The 12,112-nt window shown below is 47.7% G+C and overlaps 1 protein-coding gene across 4 annotated transcripts in view, besides 2 other annotated features; it reads left to right on the top strand.

Moving 5' to 3' along the window:
- The window catches only part of ZNF592 (zinc finger protein 592), a 57,854-nt gene extending 49,547 nt beyond the window's left edge, over window positions 1-8,307 (top strand). For all 4 annotated transcript variants that reach the window (NM_014630.3, XM_005254996.4, XM_011522246.3 and 1 more), the window contains 5 exons: window positions 177-336; window positions 450-737; window positions 960-1,072; window positions 1,704-1,839; window positions 3,725-8,307. In NM_014630.3, the coding sequence (NP_055445.2) occupies window positions 177-336; window positions 450-737; window positions 960-1,072; window positions 1,704-1,839; window positions 3,725-4,255 (1,228 nt within the window). In that variant the 3' untranslated portion in view covers window positions 4,256-8,307. The remainder of the gene's footprint in view (window positions 1-176; window positions 337-449; window positions 738-959; window positions 1,073-1,703; window positions 1,840-3,724) is intronic.
- Window positions 5,504-6,005: an enhancer, noted in NCBI's record as "H3K27ac hESC enhancer chr15:85346873-85347374 (GRCh37/hg19 assembly coordinates)". NCBI's record gives its function as "activates a minimal SCP1, AML or CMV promoter by ChIP-STARR-seq in primed H9 embryonic stem cells {active_cell/tissue: H9 hESC(primed)}" and the evidence as "EXISTENCE:reporter gene assay evidence [ECO:0000049][PMID:30033119]".
- Window positions 6,006-6,505: an enhancer, noted in NCBI's record as "H3K27ac hESC enhancer chr15:85347375-85347874 (GRCh37/hg19 assembly coordinates)". NCBI's record gives its function as "activates a minimal SCP1, AML or CMV promoter by ChIP-STARR-seq in primed H9 embryonic stem cells {active_cell/tissue: H9 hESC(primed)}" and the evidence as "EXISTENCE:reporter gene assay evidence [ECO:0000049][PMID:30033119]".

Consider the following 12,112-nt stretch of genomic DNA (forward strand, 5'->3'; position numbering starts at 1 on the left):
GGGTTAGTGGCAGAGGTGCCTGGGGTCGTACTAAGGATGTCCTGAGGCAGGGGAGCATCCACATTGGCTCAGGGTAGTGCTTTCCCAAACTTGACCCTGGTTCAGAGAGAGCAGAGATGGGTGGAGGGGCTGCATGGTGCCTTGGCCACCTCACCCCCTAGGGCTTGTCTCATCAGGCTCATTTATAAGTGCTCCTGTGAAATGGTCTTCAACAAGAAGAGGCACATTCAGCAGCATTTTTACCAGAATGTCAGCAAGACGCAGGTGGGCGTCTTCAAGTGCCCTGAGTGCCCACTCTTGTTCGTGCAGAAGCCGGAGTTGATGCAACACGTCAAGGTGGGATGCCTTGCGGGAGGAGGCCGGGGAGGAGGGCACATGCCTCAGGCTGGGGGTCTGACTCTGTGCATCTTTCCCCTTGCCCAGTCAGTAATCGCTCTCCCCATCCCCAGAGCACCCACGGTGTTCCCCGAAATGTGGACGAGCTGTCAAGCCTCCAGTCTTCAGCGGACACATCCTCAAGCCGCCCTGGCTCTCGAGTTCCCACTGAGCCACCAGCCACTAGTGTGGCTGCTCGGAGCAGCTCCCTGCCTTCTGGCCGCTGGGGTAGGCCTGAAGCCCACCGCAGGGTGGAAGCCAGGCCGCGGCTGAGGAACACTGGCTGGACCTGCCAGGAGTGCCAGGAGTGGGTTCCAGATCGGGAGAGCTACGTGTCCCACATGAAAAAGAGCCACGGTCGGGTAAGTGCAGCCACACAGTCATAATGCAGAGCCCAGTCCTCTGGACTTCCTTCTGTGAAGCCAGAACCCCTAGGGTTCCTGGTGCTTAGGGCAGGGTGGGTACCACAGATCTTGAGGTCTTCGGGAGTATCCTCCTTTCTGCCCATGGCATCTGAGAAGAAAAATGCACCCAGAACTATCTTACAGTTCTGATGCTTTGTGTGTTGCCACCTCCTTCCTTAGACATTGAAGCGGTACCCATGCCGGCAGTGTGAACAGTCCTTCCACACCCCCAACAGCCTGCGCAAACACATCCGCAACAACCATGACACAGTAAAGAAGTTCTACACCTGCGGGTGAGTCCCTGGGGATAGTAGTGAGGAGGCCTGAGGTTCAAAAGACTCTGTCCGTGGCACCACTGGGGCTTTTCTGTGCTGCAAGATCAGGTGTCTAAGACAAGAGACAAGTGATTTCCAACTGGAAGAAATTGCGGCTAAGTCAGAAATCAGGGGCAGGTCAAAAATCAGCTTCCAGAACCTGGTAGCTCCTGAGCCCTCTCTCGTCACTCTCTAGCCCAGGACTGCACAGCCCATCAGTCACGAAGCATCCTGAGGTTTAAGAGGAGGGGTGGTGATGTGAGCATGCACCCCTGGGGCCGAGAGGCTTCTGCACCATCTGCCTGTGCCTTGGGGTGGCCCCAGGCCCTTTCACTGTGACTACTAGCCTAGCACTTGGGTCTCTGGGCGGTGACATCAGGTAGTGTTCAGTGAGATTGTGGCTGAGTGCCAGGTGTCAAGAGTGCAAGTATTCTGACGTGCTATTGTCTGCTACCTTGGCTGGCCTGCTGGCTGGATCTCTCTGGGGTTCCCAGCACTAGCCAGCCCAGGAGTCTGCTCCAGACTCCCTCCTTCCTGGCCTTGGTGTGAATAGCACTGAGGGAGCCTGCGGCCCGGGCACTTACCTGACCTCTCCGCTGTGCTTCTGCAGGTACTGCACAGAGGACAGCCCCAGCTTTCCTCGGCCCTCCCTTCTGGAGAGCCACATCAGCCTTATGCATGGCATCAGAAACCCTGATTTGAGCCAGACGTCCAAAGTGAAACCTCCGGGTGGACATTCCCCTCAGGTGAGTGTGGGCTCCCTGCCTATTGGAGCTGGCTGCTCAGTGAGGCTTGGAGCTGGAAGGGCATTAGGAAGGCTACTGTTGTGGCCATGGAACAACCAGAGTGACAGCTTCCCTCAATGTGGGTCACTCTCTAGTCCTGTGTGACCCGCCTGGCACTGGACACAAGTAGGGGATAAGGACAAAGACCCATAAGGTGGCCTGTCAGCCTTTTGTTACTGTTGCTTCCCTGTCACCACGGCCCCCTCTGTAGGGGTGTGCTGTGCTCTGTGGACATTGGTGCATTTTCACACATACCATTCTCTTTCTGCTTCACAGCAGTCCTGAGGCGGGAGCACACAGGACTACCTTGTCAGATGAGGATAATGATGTTTGGCCAACTCACCCCCCAACCTTCTCACTAGTTATAGGAAGAGCCAGGCCTAGAACCTTCTATCCTGGCCCCTTGCCCTATGACCTCATCCCTGTTCCATGCCCTATTCTGATTTCTGGTGAACTTTGGAGCAGCCTGGTTTTTCCTCCTCACTCCAGCCTCTCTCCATACCATGGTAGGGGGGTGCTGTTCCACAGAAGGGTCAGGTGTGTCTGGGAAGTCCTAAGAGCTGCCTGGAGTTTCAAGGCATTCTTAAAAACGTTCTTGCCTAATCAGATGGTGTCAGTAGTTGGCAAAGCACCTTTCATGCGTAGTAGCTGGGGGTATCGATTGATGTTTTTGGCAACACCTGTCCAATTGTAAAATGTACATCCTCCCTTCCCCCAAAATGCACATACCCTTTGATCCAGCAATTCTGCTTCTAGGATTTGTCTATTAGAGAGATCTTTTGCCTTGGGCATAAAGAAGTCTGCTAAAGGATGTTTGCTGCAGCACTGTGTGCAGTAACAAAGACGGAACTCAGCTAAATGTCTGCCGTTGGGGACTTCTCATCCCCACATTGGGTTAGTGTGCTGCCTTTAGAAGAATGAAGCCTCTGTATGTTCTCCCATGGAAACATGCTCCAATGTATGTTGTTAAGTAAAACAAAAACAAAAACAAGAAAAACACAGGGTGAAGAAAAGCATGCATATACTGGGTGCGGTGGCTCATGCCTGTAATCCCATCACTTTGGGAGGCCAAGGTGGAAGGATCACTTGAGCCTAGGAGTTTGAGACCAGCCTAGGCAACATTGGGAGACTCTGTCTCTACAATAAATAAGTAAATAAATTAGCTGGGTGTGGTGGTGTGCACCTATAGTTCCATCTATTCAGGAGGCTGAGGTGGGAGGATCGCTTAAGCTCTGAGGTAAGACTGCAGTGAGCTGTGATCACGCCACTGCACTCCAGCCTGGGTAACAAAATGAGACCCTGTCTCAAAAATGAAATGAAATAAAATAAAATAATTAGCTGGGTTTGGTGATGTTCACTTGTAGTCCCAGCTACTCATGAGGCTGAGGTGGGAGGATCGCTTAAGCCCGGTAGGTCAAGGATGCAGTGAGCTGTGATTGTGCCTCTGCACTCCAGCCTGGGCAACAGAGTAAGACCCTGCCTCAAAAAGAAAAAGAAAAGTATGCATGGCATGCCATATTTTGTAAAAGACAATAGTTTTGTTTTTGTATAGGCATAGGATACCTCTTGGAGGAGCCACAAACCCAGGTAATATGTTCTTTGGAGAGCAGGTCTGGGGAGTGGGGTAGTCTCTATACCCTTCCCGTGCCTTTGGAGTATTGTGACACATGCATATGTTACATTACAAAACAAAGAATTGAAACAAACCAAACGTAAACCAGCGTTCAGGGCTGGGGTGACCCTGGCCTGGGTGGTGCTTTCTTTGAGTCCTTGGGCTCATGGTTATGTCTAGGGGCTCATGTCCAGGGCTTGGCCTGGACTTTGCTCATGCTGTCTCTCCTTTTAGGTGAACCATCTGAAAAGACCAGTCAGTGGAGTGGGGGACGCTCCAGGCACCAGCAATGGCGCAACTGTCTCTTCCACCAAAAGGCACAAGTCCCTTTTTCAGTGCGCGAAATGTAGTTTTGCCACAGACTCGGGGCTCGAGTTTCAGAGCCACATACCTCAGCACCAGGTGGACAGCTCCACAGCCCAATGTCTCCTCTGTGGTTTGTGCTACACCTCTGCCAGCTCCCTCAGCCGCCACCTCTTCATTGTCCACAAGGTGAGAGACCAGGAGGAGGAGGAGGAAGAGGAGGCGGCGGCAGCGGAGATGGCAGTGGAGGTGGCAGAGCCAGAGGAGGGCTCCGGGGAGGAGGTGCCCATGGAGACTAGAGAGAATGGACTGGAAGAATGTGCCGGTGAGCCTTTGTCAGCTGACCCAGAGGCGAGGAGATTGCTGGGCCCGGCCCCTGAGGACGATGGTGGCCACAATGATCACAGTCAACCACAGGCCTCTCAGGACCAGGACAGCCACACACTGTCCCCTCAGGTGTGACCGGAGACTTTGCAGTGTGCATGGTCAGGGGTGGTGCCGAAGTGTCTTCCACCTGCCCTGCGGACCGTGGAAAATAAAAGGCTCTGCCCCCAGTGTGAGTGTGACCGGTTGTACCCTGGAGTAGTGTCTGCCCTGAGCTGCCAGTGCTGGGTATCCCCCAGCCCCAGGAAATGTGGGGTCGGCCAGGACCCTCACAGCTCTGAATTTGCTTCTGTTATTTATGGCTTTTCGCTGCTTCTTGGTGCCCCATCTCTTGTCTGTGTCCTTCCAACCCCAAGCTGCTTATGTGGCCCAACCCCACTGCTGTCAACTAGGCTTGAACCCCACAGCGGCTGTGCTCTTCTGGGAGGTTCCCGCTTGCTGCCTTCAGCCAGGGCGCTCCTCAGAGCTCTATTTTCCTGCAGACACCAGCTCTCCTTCCTGCCTTTAGATCCTGAGAAGGAGGGAAATGAGGGGTGCTGACACAGTCCCTCTGGGAGAGCTCTGCCTAGTCTGGTTTGGCGAGGGCCCTTGATCACCTTGCCCCTCCTCCCTGTCTTCTCTGATTCTTTTCCCTCAAAATAGTCCTGAGAACTAATTGTCACACTGGCTCATCATGTCTCTGTGGGTGGGGTGGGAGAAACCTCTGCTGCACACCTCTGTTTGGAACCTGGGCAGAGCAGGAGGTAAGGCAAAGGCAGGCAGGCACCAAGAACCAGACCCCTTGAGAAGGCGCTGTGGGTGGGTCTTTGTTCTGCTGTTCTGCCTTTCCTGACAGGTGGGGTTGGGGCACACAGACATTGGAATATTTGTACTGCTCTCGTGCCATTTGAGAGGCTGCTGCCCCAGGCAGGCCAGCCCCTACTCCTCTTGGCTACACTCATGTTGCTCAGACTATATTTCAAATAAAAAATCTTCTCACCATGCAGGTAGGCTCTTGTATTCCTCTCCAAGTGAGCCTGGCCCCACCCTATTCCACCCAAGGGTCTTTCCCAGACTTCCCCTGTTTGTCCCATCTCTGAGGGAGAACAATACTTCCTACTGTCTAAGGAAGGCCTTCTCTAGATTCTGGAGCTTGTGGTTAGGAAACCGGGAGCCCTGTACTACTTAGTTCTCTAGAGACCTTCTGAAGGGGTGAGGGGAGCGGCTCCACAATGGTCAAGTCACCTCCAAGATCTCCAGGCTAGTGACATTGGCTTTAGGGCGTATCGAAATTTTCTAGGCACCTTCATCTTTCCTTCAGTTGATTTTCAACATAAGAGAACCCCTTACTGGTAAAAAGGGAAAAGGGGGTGGAGAAGAGGAATTTTATAATTTTCTTATAGCATTCAAGAGGTTTCTTATTTCTTACAGCATCGCTACTGCCACAGAGAACTCAAATGTGGCAGAACTGGGATTAGACTTGGGAGACTGGCTGTCTTTTCACTGATGGTGGAGTCAGGGCCCACCCAAGCACGAGGAGCAGGCTGTGTGGAGGTGTCGTCTGACCTCTAACCCAGGTGGCATGGGGTTGCGCCCAGCAGGATGTAGTGGAGTAAAGGGAAGAGGGTGCTGGCCGGGTGCTTAGAGGTCATCTTTCAAGGAGGCATTAAATATCAATTATAAATTATTAAGTCAGATAAATATGCCTGACCTTTTCACAGTTGAAAAAATACATTTTTTCCCCTCTATCAAATGCCAAGTTTTTAGTGGAAATGCTAATGGCAGTGGGAAAGGTTGCCTCACTTTCAGAGAGACTCTCGCTGTCTGCACCCTTTTAATAATTGCTCTTCCTGGCAAGGCTGCCACTTCCCTGCCTCCCCAGCTGGCAGTGGGGCAACCCAGGCCTGTTTCCAGCTACCTGCAAAGCCAGACCTAGACCTGCCGTAGCTGTTGTCCCATGCCTAATTCTAGTTACAGGAAGCCATCCCTGTACCCTGGGTCCATTCACAGGAATGGGTTCCAGAGGAGGCTGATAGAAGGGTTTGAAATGACTGGCTGGATCCCTTCCTGCTCAGACACAGTGGTAGCTGGAGAGCAGGCAGAGATGGTAGAATTGCAGGTTTGACCACCTGTCGTGACCCCAGATATACATCTCCTTCCTGGGAAGAACGTGAGTTGGAAAAATGCTGAGCCAGTCCCTGGAAAACCTGGGTCCTGGCCTGGATTCTGTCCTTAGCCAGCTCTTAACAAATCCCTTAACCTCACTGTCTCCTCTCCTTCACAATAGAGTTAGTAATTCCCATCCAACTGGCTTCACAGGCTTTTGTGAGCTTATGAATGTGAAAGTATTTTCTAGTTTATAAAACACTATATGAATGTGGGGAAATCTTTACTTGACCTTAGGGCATGGAGGGTGGAGCACATTTTGTCTGCTGTTTGGACTTGGATGCTGATTAGCAGTTATGAAGTGGCCCAGACACCTAGCCATTCTTTAGTAAGAGTGAAGATAGCATTTTAAGCCCTCCTTGTGTGCCTAGCATCTTACTGAACACTTTCTGGTGATTCTCTCCTTTAATCCTCACAAAGATCTCACAGTTGTCCTCCATTTTACGGAGAAGAAACCGAGGCTCCGAGAGGTTAAACGATGTGCAGAGGCTACCTGTAGTGATGGTGCTGAGTCAAGCCTGTCAACCACTGTGCTCGTTAGTGACCAAGGCTGCTTTGACAGGCTGCCAGCTTGTCAGTGGTTTGCAGCCCCCCAGACATTTGCTTTCCTACTTCCCATGCAGTTGGGGTGCCCTGCCAAGTGCCAGGTTCTCTTTGGAGTCCATCTGTGCCTTGTCACCCCAAGGAGGGCCTCGAGCATCACACCGTTGACATTTCGAAACGTGGTATCTCTACAACCTTTCATTCTCATTGGGATTTACCTTGCCATTTGAACACCATCATTTTTTGAGGACTGTCTAGAAAAGGTTGCCTAACCCTCACAGGGAACACACAGTTCCCTCAGAGTCCAGCATCTTCTGGTCTTTTCTTTTTCAAGATTTTTTTAAATGGTTGTGCTATCATTTGTCATCATCAGAAAATGCTTGCTGTAACAAGCGTTTATCTGCACATTATGCTGCAGTGAATGCTCTACTGATCAAGTTAAACAGATAAGATCCCTTCCCTTGTAGAAACTACAACTTAATACAGTCTAAGACTTGACAAATTACTTAGTATTTATTTTCCAACTGCTTTATCTCTGTAAAATGATATGCTGAATTATTATAAGCTAATTGTTGTAGAAAGAACTTTCCCCTTAACTTATGTAAACAGTCTGGTTTTAAAAAATTTGATAATTGTGGCCCAGTAAGCTCAACACTTTGCCTTCCCCAAGACTGGGGAACCTCTGTCCTGTTCACCACTGTATATTCAGCACCAGGCAGTTTCTTTTTTTGTTTGTTTGTTTTTTTGTTTTGAAAAATTAATACATATACATGGTAAGACATTCCACAATACAAAAGGGTATACAATAAATGGTAAGCTTCCCCATGGAGGTCAGCCTCTAGTCCCCTCTCCAGAGTTAATCACTGTTATCTATATGTTGTGTATCCTTTCATAGCAATTCTATGCATTTACAAGTTTATAAATATGTATATTTATATATCTATTTTTAATACAAATAGTAGAATTCTATACACAGTGTTCTGAAGCTTGCTTTCTTATATAGTATTTTGGAGATTATTCCAAATTCATACATTGGGTCAGAGTAATTCTTTAAAAGTTCCTTGCATATAACAGTGATTCAAAAAGTATATGGATGAATGAGTGAATGCTGCATGAATGAATGAATCTGATTCAATTGGTAGCTACAGCTGTTCTCTCAGGGTCTGATCTGACCAAGACAGCACCTTCTAGATTCTAGAATGTGTCCTCCTGACTAAGGGGTTCAGGATACTGTTCACCTTCTCCAACAGATGCCACCGGAGCCTTAGGAACTGGGCACAGGAAGCCTTGGGCCCCTGGAGGAAAAAGTTGAGACTAGGACGCAGGTCCCAAGTATGGGATTTTTTTGGGTTCCTACTTAAAATGCTTTTTTCTTTATTGGAAAATGATGTAACATTTTAGAGAAATTAAAAAGCACACATATTTATAATCTCTTCCTCTTACCATTGTAGTTGTTTTCATTTTTGCCTATCACTTTCCAATCCTTGTTCAGCACATTTGTAATTGAATTTATGGTATAATTATGATAGCAGCAGTGGTTAACATTGAACATTTCTATATGGCAGACATTATTCTCACATTCATTTTTATTTAGCTTCACAACAATCCTGTAAGATACATACTACTACTATTCTTTTGGAGACAATAAAATTGAGGTTCAGAGTAGTTGAATGACTTCCTTAAGGCCATGGAGCTAATAAGGGGCAGAGCTGGAATTCACACTCAGGGGTGACTGACACTATACTGTCTCTGATTTTGTACTCTACTTTTCTCCACTTAACGCAGAAAATGTCCAGTACATGTTTCTACATAGCCTTTAAATCATCATTTTCTTTTCTTTTTTTTTTTTTGAGACGGAGTCTGTCTCTGTCGCCCAGGCTGGAGTGCAGTGGCGTGATCTCGGCTCACTGCAAGCTCCACGTCCCAGGTTCACGCCATTCTCCTGCCTCAACCTCCTGAGTAGCTGGGACTACAGGCGCCTGCCACCATGCCCAGCTAATTTTCTTTCTTTTTTTTTTTTTGTATTTTTAGTAGAGACGGGGTTTCACCGTGTTAGCCAGGATGGTCTCGATCTCCTGACCTTGTGATCTGCCCGCCTGGGCCTCACAAAATGCTGGGATTACAGGCGTGAGCCACCATGCCCAGCCTAAATCATCATTTTCCATAATTGTAATCACGTTCATCATGCCAAATCAATACAATTGACCATTTCCTGTTTAACATGTAAATTCCCTACTTCATCAGTGCAATGAAGAGTCCTGAGCATATAGCTTCTTGCTTCTGCAGAATTATTTCCTTGGGAGTTTAGCCCTATTTTTTTCTTGAGTAAACTGGCGAGTGATAGAATGGAGAAGTTCATTGTCATAATAGTAATCAGACGCCCTAGGGTGCAGTCTCATTTCTGTAAGTGACAGTCATTTGGTCTTTCCTGGCCTTAGTTCTCTTATCTATCAAATGAAGGGGTTGGTTTATATATCTCTGGGGACCTTGATTTTTATCTTCTCAGTCTGTATACGTTCATGTCAAAATAGACCTTCCCAAAGGCAAGAACTTGTATTTCCTCTTTTGCTTATTTTTTTATTTGTTTACTTTTGACCTAGATGCATACAAAAATGGAAAAGATCCCTCTTACTCAGCCCTTCCAAGGCAATATCACTTTTATTTGCATTTATTTGTTTTTCAGTTTGCATTAGATTTATGCTTTCTCAGATAGAGTTCTAGCTCTTTATGAGTACCTATTTTTTTTAAAAAAAGTCTCATTGTTAATCATCCTAAGTTTTGCAGCTTTTTAAATTTTATTACTTTTTTTTTTTTTTAGAGACAGGGTCTGGCCCTGTCACCCAGGTTGGAGTGCAATGGCACAATCATAGCTCATTGCAACCTCAAACTCCTGGGCTCAAGTGATCCTCCCACCTCAGCCTCCCAAGTAGCTGGGACTACAGGTGTGTGCCATCATGCCTGGCTAATTTTGTTATTATCTTTTTAGAGATGGGGTCTGGCTGTATTGTCCAGGCTGGTCTTGAACTCCTGGGTTCAAGGGATCCTCCTGCCTCAGCCTCCCAAAATGCTGGGATTACACGTGTGAGCCACGGTACCTCGCAATTTTTTTTTTGGCTTTTGTCAAGCCTTTTGAAGTTTGAACTTTGTCTACTTCATAACTTCCAAGCATCTTCAAATCCTTCTGTCACCAGGCATTTTTCATTAGGGTTCTAGGTCCAGGTGAATTCTTGAGTTGGTTCGTTGTGTCATGTATTGGCCTTTAATAATGCTCTTATTTTGGCCCACGCCTGTAATCCCAGCACTTTGGGAGGCTGAGGCGGGCAGATGATGTGGTTAGGAGTTTGAGACCAGCCTGGCCAATATGGTGAAACCCTGTCTCTACTAAAAATACAAAAATTAGCCCGGCGTGGTGGCAGGTGCCTGAAGTCCCGGCTACTCAGGAGGCTGAGGCAGGAGAATTGCTTGAACCTGGGAGGTGGAGGCTGCAGTGAGCTGAGAACACACCATCATACTCCACGCTGGGCGACAGAGCGAGACTCCGTCTCAAAAAAAAAAAAAGCTCTTATTTTATATATATATCTATATATACCCATTTACAGATTTAAATTGAGTTTTCAGTGCATGAATACTAAAATCAACAAATATTTAATTGACCATAAGGAAAAGGGGTGCAGAAGGATGTGATAAAGACATGTAAATCCATTCTAACTAGGAGAAGCTTCCATCACAATGAGTCCCCAAGTGACAGTGGATCTGCAGCACCAGGGTGTTTCATGAAAGGACGTGGGATCATACATAGAGTGTTCGTCCAGATCTGCTAAATCGCTTCGCTTCTTGGCCTTTTGGCTGAGATCAAGTACAGACCTACCAGATCTTCTCAGACTTAATCCTGTAAGCTTTGCCTCTATTCTATATGAAAATGGGGATGGTAGATGATGCATTTGATATTTGGAGAGAGTGATTAAGCTCCTCTTCAATCTGGCATTCATTAAACTTGGAACCCCACTGATTCTAGGTCTCCCCTTTCAATTATAGCACAGGGCACACACATAATCCCTCCTTTTCTGTGGGGTTTTTTAGTCTGTAGAACAATTTGCTTAGAATTTTCCCCTAAGATCCATTGTGCATAACAGAGCTGAATATTCTTGGTATCTGAACAAGAAAGTAGGTGCTGCTTTCTAAGAAGCTCTTTGCCTATGGAGGAGGGGTTTTGATATGATTTAAAAGTGGGGAAAAGGAGAAGATGGAAAGTGGGGGTTGTCAGGGGAGGTGATGGTGGGAAAAGGGATAGAAATTTGTGGAGGGGCAGGCAGAAGAATTTGAACAGATGGAGAGTTTAGAACCTGGAAACTGCATTTTTTAAGACAGTGATAGAAATGGTGCTGGTGAGCTCAAAAGGGAGGTAGTGGCTTGATTCGTCAACGGCAGCACTTGGGTGAGCAGTAACTGTGGCAGCAGTTGCTGGGAGGAATTAATTTTTTTTTTTGAGACAGAGTCTCACTCTGTCACCCAGGTTGGAGTGAAGTGGTGCTATCTTTGGCTCACTGCAACGTTTGTCCCCCAGGTTCAAGCGATTCTCTTGCCTCAGCCTCCCCAGTAGCTGGGATTACAGGCACCCACCACCACGCCTGGCTAATTTTCATATTTTTAGTAGAGACGGGGTTTTGCCATGTTGGCCAGGCTGGTCTCGAACTCCTGACGTCAGGTGATCCACCCGCCTCAGGCTCCCAAAGTGCTAGGATTACAGGCATGAGCCACCACGCCCAGCCGGTATTAAAAGTTTTTTAAAGAATGAGAAGATATAGCTGTTGAGGAAAAGGAGAGCTGAGATTCAAAGACTTTCTTAGAAAAAGACAAAGACTTGAAAGGGAGGAAAAAGACTAGTTTACCTTGCAAGAAGACCAGGAGAAGCCTGGGCTGGGAAGAGCCTTTTCTAGGTTCAGTTGAAGATAGGGAGTTTATATACTGGGCCCAACTGACTAATTGCTGGCCCCTGACCACACACTTATCCTCTTATCTAATGATTGCTTTATTTTGGGACATGCCTAGATTTGTGGCAGTCCTGGATGGAATCAGAGCAGGTGGATTGGGGAAGACACGTGGCTGTGGCAGCTCTATCATTGAGTCCCAAATTCCCTTTCCAATCAAATGAGAATCAGGACTGACTTCTCATTGCCAGTAATCCTTTAATTGGTGTCCATTTACCCAAGCACAGCTGTGGCCACACAGCTATCCAGTCCCTGGATA

This window comes from Homo sapiens, chromosome 15, assembly GCF_000001405.40.
Source record: "Homo sapiens chromosome 15, GRCh38.p14 Primary Assembly".
Taxonomy (NCBI): Eukaryota; Metazoa; Chordata; class Mammalia; order Primates; family Hominidae; genus Homo; species Homo sapiens.